Below are 26,227 nucleotides of genomic sequence, written 5' to 3'. Positions count from 1 at the left end.
TTTTTAAGTAGATTTCCTAGAGGCAAAATGTCTTATATGCTTTACTTGATATCATTGCAAATCCATTAGCCTTTAAAAAATTCTCCATAATATCCAAATGTATAATTTCCCAAGTTATGTTATCTGTGTTCACTGTGTTCATAATGGGCCTAATTACCTTCTTGCCTATCACAGTGTTCCAAATATTGATCATCATTCCAAGCTTATCACAGTGCCCTGTTTCCTATTCATTACCATAGGGCATAATGCAATTTGGCTTTACATTATCTGCTGTCATTTGGGTCTCAGTTCTTTTACTGGCAATTTCCAAGTTCTCCAAGAGTGGAATTTTTCTTTTAAGTCTCACAAATCCCAGGGTCTTTTATCGTTTCCTGAAATTCACATCAAAATGTTCAATAATGAACTTCTCATTAAGATTCATACATTTGCATAATCTCTCCTACCCTATCTCCAAATACTTTATTTTAAAGTGAAACTATCCAGAGAAAATATCGGAAGATTATGTGAACAAATAAATTCCTTGATTATGAGTATGAGCATGGCCCTTCAAGTGTGTTCAAATGTTTGCCAAGTATTGCTATATACTTTAATTTTCTTTACTAAAAATTCCTTCTTTCACAAACAAATAGTCAAAATTTTATGTCTTGTTTAGGTTTCTTTCCTGAACTCAGATTATGTCCCCAAAATGTAACAAATAGTGAATTCATTACCCCAAAAATATTCTGACATTTTTGTTTTTCTTTTTTCTTCTATCTTACAGATAAGAAAATATACTCCATGGTTCAACTTAGTGGTTAAACTATTTCTAAAGATACATATATAACCTTATCTGTGGGTAGATTCTGGTAGGGCAACTGAGGATCCCAGACAACACCATTCCCAGCATGCTGGTTTGTTTTAATCTTTTGTTTTCATTCTTTCCTCCCTTAGAAAGACTCTACTGGATTAAAAAAACAAAATGAACAAACAAAAAACAAATAAAAAGCTGCATTCAAGAAAATAACTGAAAAATTAAGTACACAGCATTGGTCTCCAGAAGAGACATGTGGGTACTTATAGGAAAACACTACCTTTATTATTTAAATAAGTAATAGAATACTCATTTGAGGGTCAAATAAATGGACCAGTGTGGGAAATTTTCCTACCTGTGATACAGCATCAAAAAATGTTACCTACCTTTCCTAGACTTATTGATTTTTCTATCCTCAGTACAGAGATCTACTGCACAAATATTTGTTGTAGGAAAAAAGGAACATGAAGGTAAAGGGTACTTACAACACTGGGATGCCCCTTTTCTTCAGTGCTGTGAGACTGAACAAAGTTTTACATGGAGAAACAGTCCACAATTGCTTCACTTCCTCAAAGCCCACATACAGCTTCCTCTTCTTTGTTAATACAACCCTTAGGTTCTTTTACATACTTTCAATGATTTAATAATTACTGCCCTACCCATAATTATTCATTCATCTCTGTATTTTGCCTTTCTTTGCATACTAGTTGTTCCTTTTGCTTAACTTATCTTTGTAATATTAATGTTTTCTGCCATTTCCACCTCATGTGTGCTTTAAATAGTCTTAATTTTACCTACTGCCAAGAACACCTTTATTTGCCTTCCAGCTCCTCCTTGTATACCTTGGTAACAGGCTTTATATTCTAAACACAGACCATTGCGGTGATTTTTTCCCTCTCTTTCCTTTTGCCATTAACTCTTTGTATGTCTTGCTAAAACAGTAAATGTTTCTTCTGCTTTTGATTGTTGAGTGGTTTGTATGTTTATGTGGGTTGTATATGACAGTACTCTCAAAATAAGGCATAATATAAAGAATTTTAATGTTTCCTCAAAAACCATTAGCATAACATAAAAGGTCAATGTTTGATTGATTTCTTGGAGGGTACATATATGAATGTATCTTTACATATTGTATAGCCTGGGCACCTGTATTTTTTAAGGTTAAATGCTATTTTTATAATTTTTTGTATTTTTCCCCTTTTTATATCTATCCGATTGTACTTGAAAAAAAAGAGCATTTCAATTCTCAATAACTGAGTTATTTACAGAACTGATAGAAAGTGAGGTTTTTCAGTTTCATGTTCATATGAATAACAATTTCTTTATAAATACACTTTAAGCAAGGTTTCAATCTAATGTTAAAATGTCAAGCCAAAATCAAGTCAGCTGTTGACAATTATTTACTGGGTATTTTTTGTGGCTCATAACTGTGCTTGGTCCTAAGAGGAATGGAAGATAAATGTGACTATAACTAACATTTTCTGTGGCTTTACAGTTCACTAAATTTTTTTCCTGTACAAAGTGAAGTCTAATCACACACAATTGATCTTACCCAAATTCAACTGTATGTTCATGATGAGAGAAAACTAGAAAAAAAGGTGGGAGGATGGGCAGGATAAAATAACTTAATGAGAGCAATTTCACTTACCTTCCATCTCAATGACAGTGTGCCCTTGAGGGACTGTGTGTCTGGGAGGGAACAGGAGTTTGGAGAAATGAGTTGTTCTCTGCGGGTCTTTGCTTGCCTCTCTCATGCTGAGCATCTCACCACCCTGAGTATGATTCCTGTGTTTCAAGATTTATAGCTTTCATGTGTGCCTGAGTTAATGTGGTCTGCTATAACAAAAATACCATAGACTGGGTGGCTTATCAACAATGGAATTTTCTCGCAGTTCTGGAGGCTGGGAAGTTCAAGATCAAGGTGCTGACAGATTTGGTGTCTGGTGAGGGCCTGCTTCCTGGTCCATGGATGCCTGTGTTCTCATTGTGTCCTCACATGGTGGAAGGGTCAAGGGAACTCTCTGTGAGTCTTTTTTTTATAAGGAAACTAATCCCATTCATGAGGGCTCTACTACAGCTCTCTGCACCAGCAGAGATGGCATTGTGTGGATGCCACCAAAGTTGCTGCCTGTGCCCTTGGGAGGGATAGCCTCTGTGACCCATGCTACACTGGGTCCCACTGGAGCTCTACCTGGGGTGTCCAAGCAATTTGACACTACAGCACAAGGAATAGAACCCAGTGGTGTTTGGCTGCCCTATGCAGCATGCACTGAGGTCCTGAGGGCACCAGCAGCCCCTCCTTTGACACCACTCTGTCTCCAGGGCCCTTGCACTCTGGGCCTGTTGGTAGGAAGGATTGTCCTGATGATCACTGAATTGCCTTCAGAGTCATTCTTCCATTGTCCTGGAGAATAGCTCCTGGCTTCTGCTGAGATGGCTGATCCATACTAATCTCCTTATCAAACAGTTGTTTGACCACATCCTTAGTATTCTTTCCCAAACAGGCTTTTTCAGACTTTTCAATATGGATAGGCTGAGAATTACCTAAGTCTTTAAGCTCTGCTTCCTTTTTGATGGACAATTCCATCTTTAGGTCATTTTTCTCATCTTGAATTTTACTATAAGCAGTCAGAAAAAGCCAGGCTGTGCCTATGGGTTCAAACAAACTATCTACAATTACATTAATTAAATACGCTATCTGGATTTTAGAGAAATCAGAGAAATTTGCTTACAAATAGCTTCAGCTAAATACCCAATTTCATCACTTACAAGTTCTACCTTCCATAATACACCAGAACAACACACTTCAGCAAAGTTCTTTGCTACTTTATATCGAGGATGGTCTTTTCTCCAGTTTCCGTGAATAACATGTTCCTCATTTCCATCTGAGACCTCATAAGAATGGCCTTTACCATCCATATTTCTACCAACGTTCTATTCAAGATTATGTGGGTATCATCTAAGAAGACTCAGAGATCGAAGCTTTCTTTACAGCTCTCCTCTTGTGATGGTGGTGTTGGTGGTGTTGGTGTTTTTTGTCGTTGCTGTTGCTTTTTTTGTTTGTTTTTGTTTTGCTTTGGAGCCCTTGCCAGAATCACCTTTTAAAAGTTCAGTCATGACAATGTGGGCTTTTTTAAGCATGCACTTAAAAACTCTTTCAGCCTCCACCCATTACCCAGTTTCAAAGCTGTTTCCATATTTTTAGGTATTTGTTATAGTGTCATTTTACTTCTTGGTACCAATTTTTGTCTTAGTCCATTTGGGCAGCTATAATGAAATTTCATAAACTGGCTTACAAACAACAGAAATGTATTTCTCCACTGTTCTGGAGGCTGGGAAGTGCAAGATCAAGGCACAGGCAGATTCAGTGTCTGTTGAGGACCTACTTCCTGGTTCACAGATGGCCATCTTCTTGCCACATTCTCAAGTGGAAGAGCTTTCTGGGGCCTCTTTTAGAAGAGCACTAAACCTATTCAAGAGGGTTCCAGCATCACGACCTAATAATTTCTCAAAGGCCCTATCTACTAATACCATCATATTGTGGTATAGGATTTCAATGTATGATTTTTTGGGGGAAACAAACATTTTGTCTATAGCAATGTGTCACTATCTTCAAACACAAGCCAACTATTTCATCGGTGTTTGACTGATGAAATGGCTATCTCTTTGAAACAATAATTTTGTATTCTCTATGGTGAATTGAGGGGATTTCCAAAGGTATTTTGTGATTTCCCTTCACATTCCTGAGAGGCAGTGCCTCAGTCCTACATCTCATGTAAATTTCAGAACAAACACTCAACCTTCTTTCAATTCTTATTTTAAGTTCCCTGAGAGTGCATACAAGGAAATGTCATCCTATTGACTTGGCAAGGCTACTCAGATGCTATATGAGGCTTTCCTGGTCTGACAAACCTTGAGCTGAAATTCCTCCCATTTTCTTTGCTGCCTCAGAAATAAAAGATTAAACACCTAGCTTAGTCAAAGACATTCTAGTCTATGTGTAGAGCAAAGATAAACACACATGAACTAATAACACCAGAGAATGTATAGGAGATCCTTAAAGCTCAAGAAGGACCCATCTCAGGGGAATACAAGTCCCCAAATTTTAGAAAATAAATTGTTCGTACATACACCTGGATTTATCTGGATTCATATTTCCAATGGTAGCCATGTTACCTGTTTACTCAGCTAATTAATTGCATCTCTGGCATTCACTCATAATTTACTCTTTAAAGCAATTGCTATTACAAGCACAATCTGACATTAGACATCTTGGGTTCTCTTAGTCCGTTTTTTGTTGCTATAACTGAATACCTGAGAATGGGTAATGTATAAAGAAAAGAAATTGATTTCTTTTAGTTCTAGAGACTGGGGAGGCCAAGGTTTAGGGGCCACATCTGGTAAGGGCCTTCTTGCTGGTGGGGACTCTCTGCAGAGTCCCAAGGCAGCACAGGGCATCACACGTTGAGGGGGCTCATGACAGATGGCCAAACTAGCTTTTATAATACACCATTCTCATGATTACTAACTCACTCCCTCAATAACCCATTAATCCATCAATCCATGAATGGTTTAATCCACTAATTTATGAATGGGTTAATGGTGGCAGAGGCCTCATGACTCAGTCATCTCCCAAAGGTCCCACCTATCTCCACGCTGCTGCACTGGGAGCTGTGTTTCCAGCACATGAACTTGTTGGGGACACACTCAACCATAGCAGTTTTATGCCCCAGCTCCACCCATATACTATTTGTGTTACTCTAGGTGAGGCTCTTACCTCTCAGTGCCTCAGTTTCCTTATCTGTAAAACAGAGATAATGATAGAACCTCATTTATGGGGTAGTTGGAAGATTATCTGATACAGAACTTTGAACATGATACCTGGCAACAGCAAATATTCAGTACATGTCACCGCTTAGCATCATATTTTTTTTTTGGTGAACAAAATTTACACCCATTAGGAGGATTCTCTATAACCCACAGAATGGCAAGAGGATTTCTGCTTCCCTATTCATACATTGTAGGACAGGGTCATTACTAGCTCTGAATTTTCACTCTTTATTGAAAACTTCTACTTTTTTTGGTCTAAGATTTCTTATCACTTTTCAAATCATCTTCTATCTCCTTTACTTCTATTAGTAGCCCAAATAAACTTGTTTATTTCTTGCAAAGATATTTTTCATGAAGAAGTAACATGCTAAAACAATTTCCTGAGAATAACCATGCCAGGGACAGCAAGTAAAGAACTAGTTAGTTTCTTTCACTCTTCTCCATCAGACTAACCCATGACACCATCAACAAAATTACAAATCAGACAAGGTCATGGACTTTTGGGATCACTGGCCAGCAGGTATCTCTGCAAACCACGTACCAAGAATGCTGACATAGAGCACAGTTAAGGGCTGGAGTATTTTAGGCTTGCAGAAGTCAGAGAAAAGAAAGCACAGTGTGACTTTAAGTCACTGAGTAAGACTTTATGCATGATGTGGGTCATATCCTTGAAGATGGATGATATATAGGTAAGAGAAGTAGGAGGTGGACAGGCACACCACTTAGAGGAAAAGGCATGAGGAAAAGTCCAAACACGTCTCCTGGGGGGTGGGGACACCGGGAGGATGGAGTGACTAGTAACAAAAAACAATGTGGTAGAGATTGGTGGGAAATAAACATGAGTAGAAAGGATAAAGTAAAGGCATGAAGGGCTTTGAAATCTGGCTAAGAAGGCAAGGCCCAAATTAGGGGACAATAGAAAGCCATGAAGTTTTTTTACCAGAGTAAACGCTTGATGATATTGGTATTCAGAGAAAAAATAATATGGAAGACACACATAGAATAAATTAAAGGGAAAGAGAGTGGTATATTTTGCAGCAATGGAACTCATTGCTAATAAAATCTCTTGCTCTTCCTTTCTTTTTACAATTTCAAATTTCTTCTAATTTCTTCATATACATTTTTAGCATGGTTAGTCATCTGTCCTCAAAATGAACAGAACTATTTTCCCCAGGTTTTTCTCTGACGAGGAGGGATAGGGTGCAGGAACATATCTTAATGCACTTGGGAGCCAGGAGGTGCTCAGGGTTATGTGTCTGGGTGGACGGGACAGGGGGCACTGCCTGCTACCCCTAGGCTTCCTCCTGGCATGGCTTCATTGTGACTGTCATGGCCGGACCCTTTGCTATCTCCTCGTAAGCACGCTTTACTATATTTGGTAATATATAATGATTAATGGGCAGTAAAACTAATAACATGGGGACACACAAAATAAATGAGGTGGCAAATATGGAAAGGAAGTACCACTTAATGTTGTTGTGAAATCTGACAGCATACTGGAGTTTCCCAGTAACTCAGCCTGAGGAATCTTTGCCAGCGGGAAACAAGGTTACAAGAAGGTGATACTTCCATTAATAACCTTCCCTCAGGGAACTCTATGATCAGTCTTTCTTGTACTGAAATTCTTGCTGGGTTGTACTGAGATGTCAGGGTACATGGAAACACTTGCTTTACTCTACCTCAGAGAAGCGCACAGAGAAACAGCAAGAGTGTCACAACTCTCCACTTATCCTAAACTGTCTCTCTTTTCTCCCCCGAGTGCTGACATCCATTCTTTTTCCTAGCCGGCACCCATTATTCTATCTAAAATGAGCATCCTGGCTTTCCTTGGTGTACTATGCCTCCTCAACTCTCATTCAGTGTGCCTACGACCCAGACATGACTAATCAGTGCATTTCTTCCCCCTGGTGAGCTCTGGGACAGCTACTGACACACACAGGGCTAACTAGAACTAAGCCTGGTAGAGTGAGCAGTCTTTGTTACTGGGGTTACTGGGAGAATCTAAGCCTGGAGCTTCTGGCAGCCATCTTGCTTTTCTGTAAGAATCAAGTCTGAAGAGAGGAACCAGAACTGCACGAGAGAGTACTGCTGACATGGAGACCCTGGGTGCAGCTACATTTCTTTGTGGATGTTCCTCTGAACATTTTAGTTGCCAGGAGTCAAGAAATTATCTTTGCAAAACTAGTTTGAAATTGTTTTCTTTCCATTGTAACTCACAGTCTTGACTTCATATTCTATTCTCCAATCTCTCATCCACATAACAATCCATGTTACCACCAGTTGTTTCTGCTCAGGTCGGACACTTGAGTAACAGGGCAGACTGCTGGTGAAGGAATGGTGAGTACAGAGCTAACCACACCAGTGAGAAGTGTGTCTGACACCAGCTTATAGACAGGCATGTTCCAGTCTGTTGCTGCATGGATTTTACAAGTGACAAATCTTCTACATCAAGAAGAGTTTTATTACATTGGTTTGCTCACCTTGACCCCTGACTCCTTTGTGAAGAGAGGACCATTCTTCAGATCATTAGTAATAAGTAGAAACATACTACCAATGGTTAGACAATTTAGAAAAATAGAATGGCTTTCAAAAGAGAGGTAAAATCAATTCTTGCTATGGTTGACCAGGGGTTCAAACAACCTATCTACAATGACATTAATTAAATATGTTGTCTGGATTTTAGAGAGATTGGAGGAAATCTGATATCACTTTTAAGAGCTAGGTATTCCCATAGGTATTCTCATGACTACTCAACAGAGGCCTCTCATTTAGGAGGAGAGAGACCTGTCTCCCAGGAAGAGGGTATCTATTTCTGGAGAAGGGTTTGTGTTTTATCACTGTGTTTGTTTTAAGTTTCCCTTTCACAGAAATTTCCAGACAAACTGTGAATTAGAAACTTTTCTGTAAATTGACTCTAAGGAAATGATGGACTAAAAGCAGTCTAGGGTGCTTAACAACAAGATTTGATATAGGAGGCATGTTCAGTGGGGACTTGGAATTGAAAGGTTTAGAATCTAAGGAAGTTATTTAATCTCATCTGGGCTTCAGTTTCTACATCAGTAAAAGTGGGATAATGGAAAAATCATATTGATGATGATAATGATGATGATAAAAATAGCAGCAGCTATCTCTGTACCAGGCACATTCTTATATATATCTATTAACTCATGTAATTATATGAGGTATACACTAATATTATCCTCATTTTATAGTTGAGAAAATTGAGGCAAAGATAAAGTAACTTGTCTAAGTTAACAGGGATGCCAGTCTCATAAGTTTCACTTGGTTCACTGCTAATACTCCCCCAAAAAAGAAAAAAAAACTGTTTTGTTCTTATTTTAAAATCAACTTTTGAGCAATGTGATATATTTTTATATTCCCTGCCTTGTTCTGGGTAAAAATTTAGGAAGGAGCTTGTGATGCATCATTAAATAGTTTTTCCCATCATTTGTTATTATAAGATGAAATTATGTATGTACAAAAAATTCACAAAGCTGCAGTGTACTCTATATACACGTAATATGTTGCTACTAATTAAAAAGGAGGATCTTTTCCTCCACATCTGCAGGATGTGGACTCAGCTCATCAAAAGACAATATGGGTATCTCTTTGTGAACACCTGCTCTCAAGGAACAAGCAATCTACATGAAGGTCAAAATGCAAAACTCAAAAGCATCCCAAACAAGGTGGGATGTGGCAAGATACAGAGGGAGTGGCAGAAGTCAGAGGAGAAAATGATGACTCTAGGCTGAAATAGATCCTTGGAATATGAGCAGCACCAAACAGAGATGGTCCTGGAGACAGAGTGGGCGACAGCGGAGAACATCGGCCTGCCAAGGGGCAGCAAGCCCAGCCATGTGTCCACTGCAGAGTGCTCATGGGGCCTGGGAGTATAGGAATGAGGTTGAACAGAGAGAATGGGAAAAGACCAACAAGGACCTTAGTGGCCAGATAAACAGGTTTATGACACCCACTGGCAATAAGGGGCCTCTGAAGTCAGTGACCCTGGATCCAAACATAGTCACTCTAATGCACATGGACAATAGGCAAGGCAGGGACTTATATCTATACCATGCCCTAGCTAGGATTCAATTGCTCTGAGTGGGTATTGCCTCAGTACCCTAAACTGGGATGGATGTTTTGCTCTGGCAGAACAACAACAACAACAATAATAATAATAATGATAGCTAATCTTTATTTAGAACTTCCCATGGTACAGTCTCTGTGCCAAATGCTTTGCCTTGTCTTGACAGTCCCACAGAGGGGTAATATCATTACCTGCCTTTTACAAACGTCAGCCTCCCAAAACAGAAGCCACAGTTCTGCCCCACACATTGCAGAGTCCTATTTTACTTTTCATTATTACTTACAATAAAAATATAAAAACACAAGGCTTTTCTAAAAAGGGTTTATATCAAAAAAAGAAAGGAACACTTGGTTCACTGCTAATACTCCCACAAAAAAAAAAAAAAACTGTTTTGTGCTTATTTTAAAATCAACTTTTGAGCAATGTGACTTATTTTTATATTCCCTGCCTTGTTCTGGGTAAAAATTTAGGAAGGAGCTTGTGATGCATCATTAAACAGTTTTTCCCATCATTTGATGACTGAGTTATTGGCACTAGATATAGCCATGGGGGGAAAAATAAATGTTTATGATGATTTAAAAGACCAATTACAAGCCTCTGCCTTATTCCTCACTCAGCATCCTGCATGGCATGTAAAAATGGTAATGAAAAAAAAATACTACATTTGAAATTTTAGCTGAGCAGAATGTCAGTTTTCAGTTACACTAAAAGAATAAAAAACATTAGGATACCATTAACAGTTTCAGAGTAATGGAAGCAAAGCAGGATTGTTTTCTATTATTATTATTACCGCCATTAATGGGTCAGAGCCTTCCAAGGGAGTAAGGCTGGGGACAACCCAGCCACTTTCAATAGAGCATTAACTCTTTCAGGTCAAAAGGGGCCCATTTAGAGGACTGCAGCAGTCATTTAATAAATGATACCCTTGTGGCCTCAAAGAATTTATCTCCTGTCTAAACAGTCTTGCTTACACATTTCTATTTTCTATATTCTATTCTAACAAATATTCCAGTAAGAGAAAAGGTTAATTTGCAGATAATTATTTAGGGAGGGAGGGAATATTTTTTAAAGCAGAAAAACAAAAACAACCCGTCACAGAGCATCAGTCACCGTGTGCAAATCTGGAAAAGGATAATGAACCTCATGAAGTAACAGAATTAAGCTGAAAAATTAGAGGTGCAAGATGGAACGATTTTCTTTCAAGGGAAGCTTGGTGAAATAATTTTTTTCCCCTTTGTTCGCTTTGTGCAGTTTATATGTGACTAAGTACAGCTAATCCTGTCTCTTTTCAAACGTTAATGTCAGCTACTAGAATAATCTGCTTTCTTGATTTAATTGCATAGTTTAACCTCTGACATAACCTTTTAATTCACACCATGACAGCCAACCTTACAGAAAGTTTTTCTAGAAATCTGAGTAACTTCCCCAAGGTAAGAGCTGCTTTCCCTCCTGTGGGGGTAGAGGGGAGCATTCTGCCCAAGATCATCAAATTCACCAGCTGCTCTGGGTGGAAAGGCCGCTGGCTTACTTCAGGGAAGAGGGGAGTTTATTAGCATGTCTGGTACAGTAAAAGCTGGCTGCACAACAATGTGAATGTATTCAACACTACTGAACTGTACACTTAAAAATGATTAAGAGGTTAAATTTTGTTTTTGTATATTTTGCTATAAGTATTTTTAACAATTTTCAAATTCTACATACTGTTATTCAATAGGAGGAGTGTGATATAGAATACTGATCAGACCATAGTTTGGGTAATGAAAGTGTTCAGGTCCATTTTGATTCAAATAAGGTCACAGAAAAAGAAAAGACTAAACATTATGCTGCTGTTTAGTGAATTGAATTGCATTTAGGGACTTGAATTCATAAGAATGTTTGAGCCTGGGCAATAAAGTGAGACTCTGTCTATACAAAATAATAAAAACAAATTAGCCAGGCATGGTTATGCACGCCTGTGGTCCCAGCTACTCAGGAGGCTGAGGCAGGAGGAACCCTTGAGCCCAGGAGATTGAGGCTGCAGTTGAGCCATGTTTGCACCACTGCACTCCAGCCTGGGAGACACAGTGAGACTGTCTCAAAAACAAACAAACAAAAAAAGTTTGGCTTCTTGAATTGCTAGGACAGAAGTCTCTAGCCATAGGAATAGTGTAAGGATTCTCACACTCTGAAGGGTTTAGTTTTTATATTGTGAACAAATGTGAATCTGAAAGAACCAATCCTTCAAGATGAATTCTGAGTGGCTAATTGGGCCTATATTTAAGATAGAGCGGAGCAGCCATTTGCTGAATAGAGTTTATACACTTTCTTACTCTGGGTTCCCCAAAACCCCACACCTTTTTAACTCTGGAACTTTCAGAATTTGCCTGAACTAATCAATCATAGCTCACCTGCCTCAGCCAATCAGGATTTTGCTGTATCAACCAACCAGGGCTCAGCTGTATTGATCAGTCAGAACTAAGCAAGTTTGAATCTCTCATTTGCATAAACAGACCTGATTGGGAACCTGGGTGGGAACTTTTACTATAACACCCAAACCTTCTTTTTGTTCTCTGGAATACTGCATCTCCCCAGTTTGCTAATTTTTCACTGGAACAAGGTCTCTTTCCTCCAACTTCCTTTTCAGAGAACTTTTCTGTGCAATATGAAGACCAGACAATGACTTAGGCAGTGTGGGACCTATATCTAATTGAGATTGGGCCATTTTTATAAAACTGAAAGAAGATAAAATCCTGATGTTACAGCCCTGATTTATACTTTCTCAAATTCTTAAGAAAGTTTCTTCTATTTCAGCAATCTAAGAAACATGATTGGGGAAACAATTTAACAGCAAGAAATTTAAATATATATGTGTGTGTGTACATATATATATATACACATAAATATATATATACACACATACAAATATATATATATATATTAATTTAAGCCACTGGAATACCTGAAGAGGAGACAAATATTAAGAGCCAACTTGTAAACATCACTTGAATTAATGAGTACCTGGCTTCTTAAAAGGCTAGGGCAGTTTCTGGCAATAGGTAGTATAAGGATGCTCAAGTACACTGTTATCAAGAATGAAAAGAAAGAGACCAGGAAGATGAAATAATAATCCAAGTCCAATCACATATTATTTTGGATTAAATTTCTTTGCAAAGAAATATAAAGTGAAGAAAGGGGGGAACATCTCTTCATTCAGTATCTCTCTTCTGTTGATGTTTTTGTTTAAATTCTTTCAATATCCTTTTATATCTTGGATTTTTCTCCTATGGTGAAATGATCATTCTTTGCTTATATAACCTCCCTAATGCTGTATTAAGAGTTTTTCCACATGATCAAATAAAAAGAGGGCTAGTGTTGAAAAAAATTATTTGTTTAAAAAAACATTTTTGATAATTAGAAAACGAATGGGAAATTTTCAACAAAGTGAACAAAAGCTACTGATGTGTGTAAGTTAAAACCAGGAAGACACACAAGTAGAATTAGTTTCTTTTTGTCTTCCTCTTCAACTACAAGGCATTCTCATCTACTCATCCATTTCAGGGGTAAACTCATGTATAAAATTTCTTTTTCTTCCTCTTTTTTATGGAAAAACAGGTACTTTTAATGTAGACAACCTGCCCAGGAGTTTCATCACTGGGCTATTTGAAGATGAAATGGCTTTGATTTGCTGATTGATACAAAACAGTTGCCTGCCTTCCGAGTGCAGGTTATATAGTGTCTTAGAAAAGTAAAGTACTGACATTCTGGAAAGTTTTTACTATATTTTGTACAAATCAGTCTATGATGTGAGGCATGTATTTTCCCAACTTAGGAAAAAAAGTGGATTTCCTGGTTTGTTACAATTGCAGAGATTAAGGGTGTGCCTGGGACTTTGGGACAGAAATACTGCATCTCCCTAGTTTGCTAACTGTTCACTGGAACAAGGTCTCTTTCTTTCAACTTCGTTTTCAGAGAACTTTTGTGTGCAATATGAAGACCAGAAAATGACTTAGGCAGTGTGGGACCTACAAGATGGGTCACTCGAGTTGGTCCCTGGCTCCACCTTGCTCTATGATTACCTGGTATTCTGTTTCTAATTTTCAAATTCTTTTCAGTACCTGAGATGCTAAAGTAGATGTTTATTTAACATGATCATCCCCAACCCTTTTGTCTTTAGACCTGCCCCTTCTTTCTTGCACCTGTCTGCTATCACAGTCATGGAATCTTATACCCTTGAAATGTTTACGGCTTCATTTTATGGCTGCCTATGCCCCTCCCCAGCAGCCCAGCAGCCACTCTAATGTAAGAAGCCCTAAATATTGTTGCCATGGGTGACACCAGAGCATCGAAAATGGCAGAGCTCGACTAATAAAAAGGCTTTCACAGTGTTTCAGCCTTTGCTCATAAGTAAAGTTAAAATTTATGGCTTTTAAAATACTGGATCTGGAAGAGGTCAGGTTAAACGGCTGCTAGTAATAAAAGGAATCAATACGCCACAGCATCTTGAAACAGCCAGCAAACTAAATAAACACTTCATCCAAATCCACTTGGCCCTGAATTAAAAGAACATAAAATACTGTATTTATTTGGTTTGTTCCCCATCCATCAAGAGCTTACTTCTTTAGGCCTCAACAAATTCTACCCAAGACAAGTATCAAATGTTTGTTAGCCAAGTGGCAATTATAGGACATGTCAAGGCTCTGGGTAATTAACTAAGTGTTAACTTTATCAAGGAACCACTTGTAGATTACTTTACTATAAATGTACAAATAAGACAAACACAGCTTGATCTGGGGAGACAACAGATACTTATTTACAAAACTGACATCGGAATTTGATATTCTCTGAGAACCAAAGCCCTCCCTTAAGAAAAAAGAGAAGGAAACAGAAAAGGTTTTCAATAGTTCCTTTCTCCCAGGCTGAACTCTGAAACTTAATCTAGAGTTTGGAATAAAAATTAAACCATTTGCTCTAATGAACAAAGTCACAAGTCTGAAAACCAAGAACAGTCGTGAATTCCATTGAAAAGAGAAAAAGTAATTTTGAAAGCAGGGCAAGTACAGATGATCCCTTTGATGATTTTTTTCTTCACTTAACATTATCCAAGGCACAAAAATACCATCTACTTTTCTTTGGTGACAAACAGTTTAATAACCTGTTAATGTTATTTTTCTGTTCCAAAGTTCATGCACGGGAAAAAGGAGTAGTGACTGTTATTTTGTCCTAAAGCAATTTTTTTCCCTGAAAGGTATTATATGAGAGCTATTTATGTCAGAGAATGGCAACTGCTATTCCTACCTTTAGACAGAAGAAATCCTAACACAAAGAGACTCTTTTACCCTTCTCTAATAGCTTATGGTTTAAAATTTTAAATGTAGCTTTGCTTTTCATGGTTCAGCACAAAGTATGACTCTGGAATGAAAATAAGTGGTCACAATTTATAGACATCACAGGTAAAATAGGGATACTTATTTTTTGTAGCTTCAGGCTGTATTTAGGCTCCCTGCTGGGAGTAATCTTGGATTTCAGAAACCCAGCTTTATGGTTAGAAACACTGGAGAACTTACTTCCCAGAACGTGCCTCTCTCTGGTTTGGTTTGACTCTGCTAGAAAATGGAGAACGTTTACCAAGAGGGGGTTCATTTTAGGGAAGTGATGTCCCTTCACTGAAATGGAACTGGCTGAACCATCAAAAGCAACCTTTCCCGCTTGGAGACTCCTGCATGCCATGACGTGACTCAGAAGAAGCTTTGCAGAGTTTTAGGGGAGGACTCTCACATTGCACAGAGGCGATTCTAAGGTCTAAACTTCATAAATAAAAGCAGTGATTGAAGGAGAAACTCTGTTCTAAATGGTATGACATCCATTTAGCTTCCCCTTTGGACAATCTGATGTTTTAATAATGCCATTGTGAAATTATGGCAAATGTACATAATTAACAAGGCAAAAAGCTGAAAATAGGTAAAAATATAATGAGGAAAATGAATCATGGATGAAATCCATGAATAGGACGAGTCCTCCAATGGCGTTAGTTAGCCTCAGAGGCAGTGAGAACAGCACAAACACGTGTGAGGTATAGTTCCAGCATGTGTAGGTGATAGAGGCTATAGTGTCCCAATGTTTTGGGAAATCCAGAGGAAACATTTCAAGAAGTAAAGAATTCTGAAATGCTACTAATATTGGAAGTAGAAGGAGAGGATGTGTTGGCAACATGACCACTTATTTCGGCAATTCTTTTAAAAGGTAAGGTTAAATTTGGGGGGAAAATTTAGTATAATAATTAAAGAGATTGGGCAATGAACAACTGTTTTTTTTTTTTTTTTTTTTTTTTTTGAGACAGATTCTTGCTCTGTCATCCAGGCTGGGGTGAAGTGGTACGATCTTGGCTCACTGCAAGCTCCGCCTCCTGGGTTCAAGCAATTCTTTCGCCTCAGCCTCCCGAGTAGCTGGGATTACAGACGCCCGCCATCACACTCAGCTAATTTTTATATTTTTTTGTAGAGACAGGGTTTAGCCATGTTGGTCAACCTGGTCTCGAACTCCTGATCTCAAGTGATCCAGCTGCCTTGGCCTCCCAAAGTGCTGGGATTACACGTGTGAGCCACAGCGCTCAGCCTATGAACAACAGTTATTATAAAGTTTAGTGGCTTCTTAAAGTTCTGAATTAGAATTAAATTGAAGTTTCATAAGGAGTTAAGTAGGCACAATTTTTCATTCTATTATGGAAGACTTGTAGAAAAATTAAATTCATTAATTTGTCGTGGAAGAGGCACACAAGTCTCTCGAGTGCTCAGCAATTGTTTTATTTATTTCTAAGTCCCTAAAGCTTCTCCCACATCAGCTAACTCAAAACCTTCCAAAACAGAAGCCTCCCATTTCTGTATTTCTCTTTATCAGACCTTTGAAAAAAATTCCCTAATTTTCTCCTTCCTCAACCTCAAAATGGTCTCTGCATCTAACCTGTCTTCTTAGCCTTATGTATGAGGGACCCCTCTCCCCCCCAAGCCTATCAGTCGTCCAGTTCTCTCTAGTCCCCGAAATCTTGAAAATCTATTCACTGAAATCATCCCTTGAGTCTCTCCTAAAAACCCTGCAAGTACTCTCACTTCTATCCTTTTCTTTCTTTTATTGCCAAGTTGGAGAACCCAGAGGTGTCATCCAGGAAGTCGACTTTCTCCTTGCTCTCTGTACCCCCTGCCATATGGTTTCTAGCTCCAAGGCTTCCCTAAAGCTCCAAGGTCACCAATTGCCTCCTAATTGCCAGAACCAATAAACTTCTTTCAGTCCTTATTTTGTTTGATCTCTTCTCAGCACTCGCTACCTTTGCTTAACCCTTCCTACTTGAAATCCTATCCTCCCTCCGCGTCCAAGCATGGTGCTACCTGGTTCTTCTCACAATATATTTATTCCTTCTTGGTCTCTGGTACCAGTGCCCTTTCTTTCTCCTTCCCCCAAATGTGGGCTTTCTCCAAGGCTTAACTCTCAGCTCAATACTGTCTTTATTTATACACTTTCTCCCTCTGGGCATCTGTTTCCAGGATTTTTGATTGTCTGGTCAAATTACTCCTGTAGGGCTCCCTTTGGCTTTCAGAAGGTCCAAACTCCTCGGGATGATTTACAAAGGCCTTCTTGACCTGGCCTCTCTCACTCATCTTACTTCACCTCTCTTCTCCTTCCTTTGTTCTTCCCCCCACAGTCCAAACTCCAGCCATTTTGAACAAATTGCCATACTTCAAAGACATCAGTTCCCTCCCTCCTCCATTGGGTCTCTGCATCTGCCGTCTCTCTTTCTAAGATTCTGTTCTCTCCTCTCCTTACTGGCCATTTTTTAGACATCACTTCTACCAGGAAGCCTTTCCTAACCACTTCTATGTCAAAAAAGAAATTAGGAGAGAAAATCTGCCAGATCTCTCATTTCTATTACCACAATGTATTATAATAATGACTAATATATATTTATTGAGTACCAAGCATTATTCTAAGTGCTATACTGTACAGTATTCACAAGTTTAATCCTCACCACAACTCTTGGATGTGAGTGCTATTATTACTGTCATTTATATAGAGGAAAACCTGGGAACAGAGAGGTTAAATATCTTGTTCAAGGTCACACAGCTAATGAACAACAAAACTGGGATTTGAACCCAAGCACACTCCCCATTCTGTACATTGTTTGTGTATATACCTGTCTTCCTTGCTAAGCTTTTTGAAGGCAGTGATGAAGTCACGGTCACTTTTCTATCAACGGCCAGCAGAGTGAATACTCAAGGATTATTCGTTGTCTGGCAAATGGAACCTTCCTGACTGTAACCTAGAAGGTTGCCTCTCCTTAATTCCTGAAGAGCATGGACTCTTGTTTAATTGTATCCCTGTTGTTACAAATATGCAGATCACTCAAACATAACAACTAGCAGGTATGGAGGTTGTCCTAGGTGCCAGAAATGGAGCTAGGTGTTCCACACAAATTCTCTCACCCCACTTCCACCTGTGAGGTGGATATTATTATTACCCATCATTTAAAGCTAAATAAGCTGAGGCTCAGCATGACTAAGGGTCACACAGAGAGCCAGCTATGGGGCCAGGACTCAAACCCAGGTCTGACAGCAATATCCATGTGGTTAACCACCAATCTATAGGTCTCTCTAGCAGGATGACAAATTTTCTAACAGCCAGAGTCCCTTGGGCTTCTCCTCCTATAGATTTCACAGGAAGCTCAGAGGCAGGAGTTTCTGTGTAAATGTCGGCTGATAAAGCGCTGCAAGCCACTTTGGAGCTTCTCTGACTTCCCCGGAATAAATATCCCCCAACGTTGCCGAGAAGGGCCATTTGTGAGATGGTGGGTGCTGCTCCCGCTCCCGAAGGCCCCGCCTAGCTCCTCATTGCCAACCTGCTTCTCCCTGCAACTCCTTTGTCTTCTTTTAAATTCTTTCAGAAAGCATTTTCTTGGTGAAGCTTTTCACCAGATTTACTTGTTGTTTCTTCTGTTAAGGATAAATAAGAAAAGAAAGGAGGAAAATACCACAAATGCTGTATAAATACCAAGGAACTGGAGGTCTTTGAGATTTCGTGATCTTTTCAGAAGACATATTTTCTCTCTAGGTTGTTTGCCAAGGCTGTCAGCACCAGGCGCCCTGCTGGCTCACTACAAAAGGAAGGAATGGCAGAGGGATGAGACTGCTAAATGCTCTTCCCATCCACATTTCTACTTCCCCTGTTTCTTTCAAATATGTCTTCCTGTATCAGCGGCTAATGTATGCCATATTTAATTCACTGTGTACATTACAAATTTCAGGAACAGAAATCCTTAATGAAGGCAACAACTTCAGTTACTTGTATTAAGACTAACTCTTAATAGATTTCTCAGACTAAATAATGATAATATGAACACACCTGAGATTACTGTGTCTGCTTTCCATTAATGCAAACACCATTCTCATAACCATTAAGAGAAACCTGTATTAGCATTTGAACAACTGTTGATATTGATATGAAAAGATCCCTGCTAAATTTCTTTTCTCTCATTAGGACATCTAATTGAACCTTTTTTTTTTTTTTTTTTTTTTTTTGAGACAAAGTTTCACTCTTGTTGCTCAGGCTGGGGTGCAATGGTGCAATCTCGGCTCACTGCAACCTCCGCCTCCCAGGTTCAAGCGATTCTCTTGCCTCAGCCTCCCGAGTAGCTGGGATTACAGGTGCCTGCCACCATGCCCGGCTAATTTTTTGTATTGTTAGTAGAGACAGGGTTTCACCATGTTGGTAAGGCTGGTCTCGAACTTCTGACGTCAGCTGATCCACCTGCCTTGATCTCTCAAATGGGATTACAGGTGTGAGCCACCACACCCTGCCCTAAATGAACTTTTTATCCACAGCTCTTGATTTTCAATAGATAAAATATAGAAATCAGAATTAAAAACAATAAAGACCCCAGATTTTTTATGCTATTATGAAGTCATTATCAACTCTTTTGGGTAATCTAAAGAGGGTGGTGACTCCTGATTTTTATAGCCGAATCTCTTAGATAAATATTTTGCCATAAGACACATGAACTTGTAATTCATGACCTCATAAGAATGTGCTTTTCAGAGACTAATTTCTCTTTTCATTATCTTTCGTCTTCTCATACAAACTGTTAATTGTATTTTCAGTGCATGGTAAATACAAGGAAGTTTTTGCTAATCTGTGAAACTCGAGAGACTTTTTTTTTTTTTAATTTTTCCCGTTCAACAGGGCACCGAAAGAAGCCTAACAGTGGCCTTGGGTTTGATTTGTGATTATATATTACCCCTTCAGTCACTTCCCTCTCAAGCAGTCTGAAATCAGAAGCGAGCCTTACTCACATTTTTTCTCTTATGTTTAAACATGTATTCAAAAGGCACACAAGCAGTTAGAAACCTAGAAGCAAGTAAAGCAAATAAAAGCCCTTTGAAGCCACAGACCACTTTACAACACAGGACAATAAAAATTAAGGAAATGATAAACATGGGAATTGGCTGAAGAAAGAATATTTAGTAAAATGACAATTCTGCTTTTTACCAGTTTTCTGAGTGGTTTAAAACACAAGGTAATATTATGATATACATACTATAGACAACTTGCTGAAAAGCCAAGAAGAGAAAATGTTATGGATTCTTTATAAAATAATATAATGATTTCTGTAGAGGGCTTAAAAGTTGCATAATAAATTCTGCATTTGGTGCTAACTGAAGAATTAATATTCAGATAGAAATATTCAGGTAGATAATTGATATTAATATTCAGATAGATAATATTCAGATAGAAAGTAAGTAGAAATGATTTATAAAAAAATCAATGTAAAAGTATACCATGTAAATTAAGGGATATCAGGAAAGGGGTTATTAAAAAAAGCAATGTACCACACATTTAATACTATTCATATTTAATAATTAATGTTTAATAATAAATATTGCAAGAACTTACCAATGAGGTGAATAAGATTACTACAGGTTTCTTCCTCAGTAATATTAAAGTCACTGCAATATAAGTTACTAAAAGCACTTAAGGAATGGAATATTTTCCTTTATACATCAGGAATGAAATCAGCTGATTATTCTTGCAAATTTTCTAAGTTTCAAGTATATAGTATATCCTAATACCAATATGCTATAGTGAAGGGAGGTAAACATGTTGCCTATTCACACAAAGAAATAAAGAGTAGAAAGAATATAGGTACTAAATTCTCTTCAGAGGTTATAATATATATGAAAATTATAGGCAATAGTAATTTATCTAAGATAAAGATATATATACATATGAGGGAAAATAAAATAGACTTTTTTTAAAAAAACTATATTTGTCCAGATCTAGATGAGCTGAGCTAATAATATGGATAACACAAAACAGGAGCCAATCCTCAAATGTGCAATGAAGTAACCAGAGTAATTACACACACTCATGGTGGTGTGTGCTCTGCAACCCCTGGGGGACTGCTGATATGATTCACATGCAGCCTTTATAAATGACCCTCACCCCCACCACAGAGCTGTACAACCTGGTGGACTTGTAACAAAAGTTCAAGATCATAGATAACTTACAAAAGTAAAACTTCTAACTATGTTTACAAATATTAATCCATTTGGCCGCAGAATACGGTGCGACTGTATACATTGTGAGTCAGCATGATACACAGCACAAGGTAGGCATTTAACAGGTGTTGGCCAAGTGAACACATGACTGATGAAATAAACAAATAGAGTGTCTTCCATACTGTAAACTCATGACATCTCAAAGAAGAAAGTGAAGACCTGATCTAGGAGGAGTTAGTGAACTCTTACGCAAATCCATTTTGTATTTTTACTCAGTATTTCTCACCTGGATTCATGGTCAAGATTGAGAAGTCTGGCTCCAAAGTAGTTGCTCCTTTAGATAGCTGCCTGCATGCTTTATACTTTTGCTGAAGGAAGAGCTGGTCATTAGAGGGAAAGGCCCTCCACAGCAGCTGATCTGACTATAAAGAAAAAACTCACACGTGCTTCTGCTCTGGCATTGTTTTGTTAGGTGAAGGAGTGGAATTCACAGTAAGTATAACAAAGGAGCGAACTCTTTCCACTGGGTGACAATGCAAAGAAGAAATGGATAGCCAGGTTTTCCAACAATAGTGGGAATTCAGGGCATTCACCCTTTGGTAACTGAGAGTTGATTGTATATATGAATAGTTAGCTGCAACTGTTAAAGTGAAAATTTAGATTAAGAACAAACATTGAAGCAATCAACACAATCTAATATTCATGAAATTTCTGCAATGTATGTGTTAGTTGCTGTTCAGAGAACACTGAACTAGTTTACAGATAATTTTCAATGTCTACATTGGAAAACTACTTTATTTCCAATTACTTCAGGTATTTTAAGTTAAATTTAGGGGAAAAACTGATATAAAGAGGATGATTTTGATTTGGCTAACTTATCTGTCTCATGTATAACTACTTATTGTTTATGCCAAATAGTTTTTCAGCTTCTTTTTAACAAAATCCTGACTTTGGAGTAGCAACCTGACTAGTTAAAAATATTCATCTCTCCAGATATTCATGCGGTTTTTTGTTTTCATGTAATGGTTTTGAATAATAAGACACGGATGAAGCATCTGAGGTTAAGTTTTTGGACAGCTATTATTTTCCAAATAAAAGGGACAGAATTATGTCTTTTGTCCTTCACCTGTCCTCCTTCTTCCTGCCTGGCACATGGAGGGGCAGCAGCCATCCCACAAACATGAGGTTGGAAGCTACACGGTATGGATGGAGACGCAGGAGGCCAGAAGTCTGGTATTTGATGACTTATTTGAACAACTGTACCAACCCTAGCCTGCCTGCCTCCTCTGTCCTTGATGCCAGACAAGAAGAAACCCTTTTTTTAGTTAAGCCACTGTTATCAATTATCTGTTATTTGCAGTCAAACACATCCTAATTGTTAAAACAAGTAATCATAAGTATTCAATGGTCCTTATATAAAATATACTAAAGTTTACCTATTTTAACACCAGCTATTAGTGCTTCTTATTTATGGCAAATACGGTCTATCAGATACAAATATAATTGTGGGGAAAATAATTATAGAAACGAGGGGACAGGTGATCTGAAATAGAACTAAGAAAATAAATAACAAAGTGGTAAAATATATATTGCCATATTTACCTTGAAAAATCAAATTAAGCAAAATTTTATTGGTATCAATCTTGTTATCACCCATTCAGAAAACAAGACAAAAATAAAGCATCTTCTTTTTTTTTTTTTTTGAGACAGAGTCTCACTCTGTTGCCCAGGCTGGAGTGCAGTGGTGTGATCTCAGCTCACTGGAAACTCTGCCTCCCGGGTTCAAACGATTCTCCTGCCTCAGCCTCCTGAGTTGCTGGGACTACAGGTGTGCACTACCATGCCTGGCTAATTTTTGTATTTTTAGTAGAGACGGGGTTTCCCCATGTTGGCCAGGCTGGTCTCAAATTCCTGACCTCAAGTGATCCACCCGCCTCGGCCTCCCAAAGTACCGGGATTATAGGCAGGAGCCACCGCACCCAGCCGAGCATCTTTCACTAATCTTGGTATAAAAGGCTAATTATGCTGTTAAGATGTAGCTAATTTAAGATTTAAATAACTTTTAAGTCTGATATGTTTTCTTTTAAAAGCAATATGGGAGCATCAGTGGAAAGTTGAGGATAGTGGTTTCCAACCTGGATTCCCAATCCACATTTGGGGGCCCCTGAAGGAAATACTAGGCAATAATAATGAAGATCTGAAAAGTTATTGCTAAGTATCAAAATGAAGATTCACAACTACATCTTACTAAGCTCACATACTTTCCAAAAGAGCAAATATTTCTGCTTTGGGCTGAAATTATGTCAATTTAGAGTAATAGTTATCTCATGTAGATCAGAAATTCTAGTGTGTTTGTGTATATTTGTCTGTGTGTGTGTATATGTATGGCATATTTACTTGTAATATATGTCAATAATTAAAAGTTGAGCAATCAATCATGATCACATAGCAGTGACTTTTATCAGTGAATAAAATCCTTCAAATAAGGGGATTATGGGGGTGTCCCACCATCATCCACTGTAGCAAATGCATGACACTGTGGTTTCCTATATTATCAAGTGACTCTGAAGGTCCTTGCCTGGTAGCAATCTGATATTTTGCTAAGGCTTGAATTTAAAACACTTTGCAGAAAGCACACCTGGAACAAAGCCTAGCTTCTGAAATCCTTAAGAGTATGATTTTTTTCTTCTCTGCTTGTTTTTGGATATATAGAAATTCTCCTCAAGTGATTATTTAAGGTACACTTCAGGTAAGCTCATGGTAACAGAGTAATGTAATAAATGGTAAAGTTCCTTTTAGTGGCAGAATGTATTATTTTTTGTGGCATGGCAGTCTCTGTTGGTTGGTCATCCCACCCCCATTTCCAGACACCTTTTTCCTTTTTTGCCTCTGGAGGAGAGGCGAGAAAATCCGGTATGTTCTTACTTCCTAGCCTTTGAGGCCAGGATTGGCAATGAGCCAATTCTGGACAATGAGCTATGTGTGGAAATGTGTTAAAGCCGTCTGGGGGAAGACCTTAGCTTTTACTGGTAAGATAAATAAGGCTGGCACGCTCTTTTCCCTCCCTTTATCCCTTCCTGTTTTGCCTAGATCTACTGCAAGATGGTCAAGTGGAAGAATCCCAGAGAATCAGAGATACAACCAATCTGATATCCACTGAAATCTCCCTCCTCTTCCCTGCTAGCAGCCGCCCATTTCTATACTACTTACTAGGTGAGAAACAGGAACTTTACTTCTTTATGTCACCAATAGTAGGGTGTTCTTTCTTTCTTTCTTTCTTTTTGTTTTTTTTTTGAGATGGAGTCTCACTCTGTCACACAGGCTGGAGTGTGGTGGCATGATCTTGGCTCACTGCAACCTCCGCCTCCCGGGTTCAAGCGATATTCCTGCCTCAGCCTCCTGAGTAGCTGGGATTACAGACACGTGACATGATACTTGGCTAATTTTTGTATTTTTAGTAGAGACAGGGTTTCACCATGTTGGTCAGGTTGGTCTCTATCTCCTGACCTTGTGATCCGCCTGCCTCGGCCTCCCAAAGTGCTGGGATTACAGGTGTGAGCCACCATGCCCAGCCACCAATAGTAGGGCTTTCTGTTATCTGCAGCCTAGAGCATTCCTAACCAACACAAATTGTATTATGAATTAATTTAGTCCTGTATTTAGATATTATTATTACTGACAGGATATTCTTTACTTTTAAAATTTTTTTAAAATTTTTAACTTTGAGTACATAGTAGGTATACATATTTGTGGGGTACATGAGATGTTTTCATACATGCATGCAATGTGAAATAATCACATGATGGCGAATGGGGGTCTCCATCCCCTGAAGAATTTATCCTTTGTGTTACAAACAAGCCAATTACACTCCTTTAGTCATTTTAATGTATTTAGGTATTATTGTCTGAAGTTGTCCCTTAAAATCTTCAGTTATTATTTGCTGTATTCTAGGGAAAAAATTACATGTTATACTGATATTGGTGAATTAGGATATATTGATGAGAGTATCCAGATAATTCTCTAGAAAATACTGAGTCTATGATACATGCCAGTAGGAGAGAAGCACATAGCTGCCTTTTAGCTTATCCATTTCCCCTTGCTTGCTCAACTTGGTAAGTACTCTTCAGATCTTAATTTTTGTTTTTGCAAGTGAATTTTCTTACTAGGAAAAGAAATATTTCTGACAGCTAAAATGACTATTCCAGTTCAGTGGGAAATTACTAATTATGCCTTGTCACAGAGTAATGCATTTTTGTTTGTCAGGTGTAAGTGTGGTTATTGAGAATCAGCAGCCCAGCAGCCCAATTGCCCCTGAAGGAACTTTAAAAAAAAATCAGTGAAATTCCTGAATATAAATTCCTGAATATAAAAGTTCTTGGAAATCTTAACAAGGTACTAACTTTGCTTTCTCTCTCCTTACTCCTAAGACATTACCTGAAAAAGCCTCCTTGTTTCCTTTATCATGAATGAATGATGTCACTAGTAAAAAGGATGAATAAATTGAAATTGGGAAACAGTTTGAAATAAGTCTATTTAATTATAAGAGTATGTCATTATTTTTATAGGATTAAGTACCAAAAAGTTTTGAATAAAATACTCAAGGCACCTTTAATCATTGAGAACTTAACATTGAGGAATTAGAAAATTACAATAAAGTTAGTTTCTGTTTAGGTAGGAATTTATCCAGTCTGTTTATCTGAAGTCAAATGCAAAAATTCTGAGTTTTGAGTGATTTACATATTTAAACAAGTCTAAAGTGACCTAGGTTCAAATCTAGACTCTGTTCCCTACTATTTGCCTCAAAACCTCAATTTTCTCATCTACAAAATGGAATAATACCTATTCTTTGAGCTTCACAGGTTTTTGAAAAATGAATGATTTATACTTATTTTATTCATACTTGGGTACACCTTTTATTCAAGACTATACTCTTTTCTTCCTTTTGAGAAACTTTAGTCCGCAAATAACATCACTGGTAAGACAGTCTCTTATTACCTTATT

The 26,227-nt window shown here is 38.1% G+C and overlaps 1 protein-coding gene across 17 annotated transcripts in view, besides 1 other annotated feature; it reads right to left on the bottom strand.

Moving 5' to 3' along the window:
- PARD3B (par-3 family cell polarity regulator beta) overlaps positions 1-26,227 on the bottom strand; it is a 1,074,688-nt gene that overhangs the window by 325,076 nt on the left and 723,385 nt on the right. The window lies entirely within an intron of this gene.
- Positions 18,523-19,129: an enhancer, noted in NCBI's record as "NANOG-H3K27ac hESC enhancer chr2:206140682-206141288 (GRCh37/hg19 assembly coordinates)". NCBI's record gives its function as "activates a minimal SCP1, AML or CMV promoter by ChIP-STARR-seq in primed H9 embryonic stem cells {active_cell/tissue: H9 hESC(primed)}" and the evidence as "EXISTENCE:reporter gene assay evidence [ECO:0000049][PMID:30033119]".

This window comes from Homo sapiens, chromosome 2 (assembly GCF_000001405.40).
Source record: "Homo sapiens chromosome 2, GRCh38.p14 Primary Assembly".
NCBI classification, from domain to species: domain Eukaryota; kingdom Metazoa; phylum Chordata; class Mammalia; order Primates; family Hominidae; genus Homo; species Homo sapiens.
Note: the sequence above shows the minus strand (reverse complement) of the source record. Positions and strands in the feature narration are given on the sequence as shown.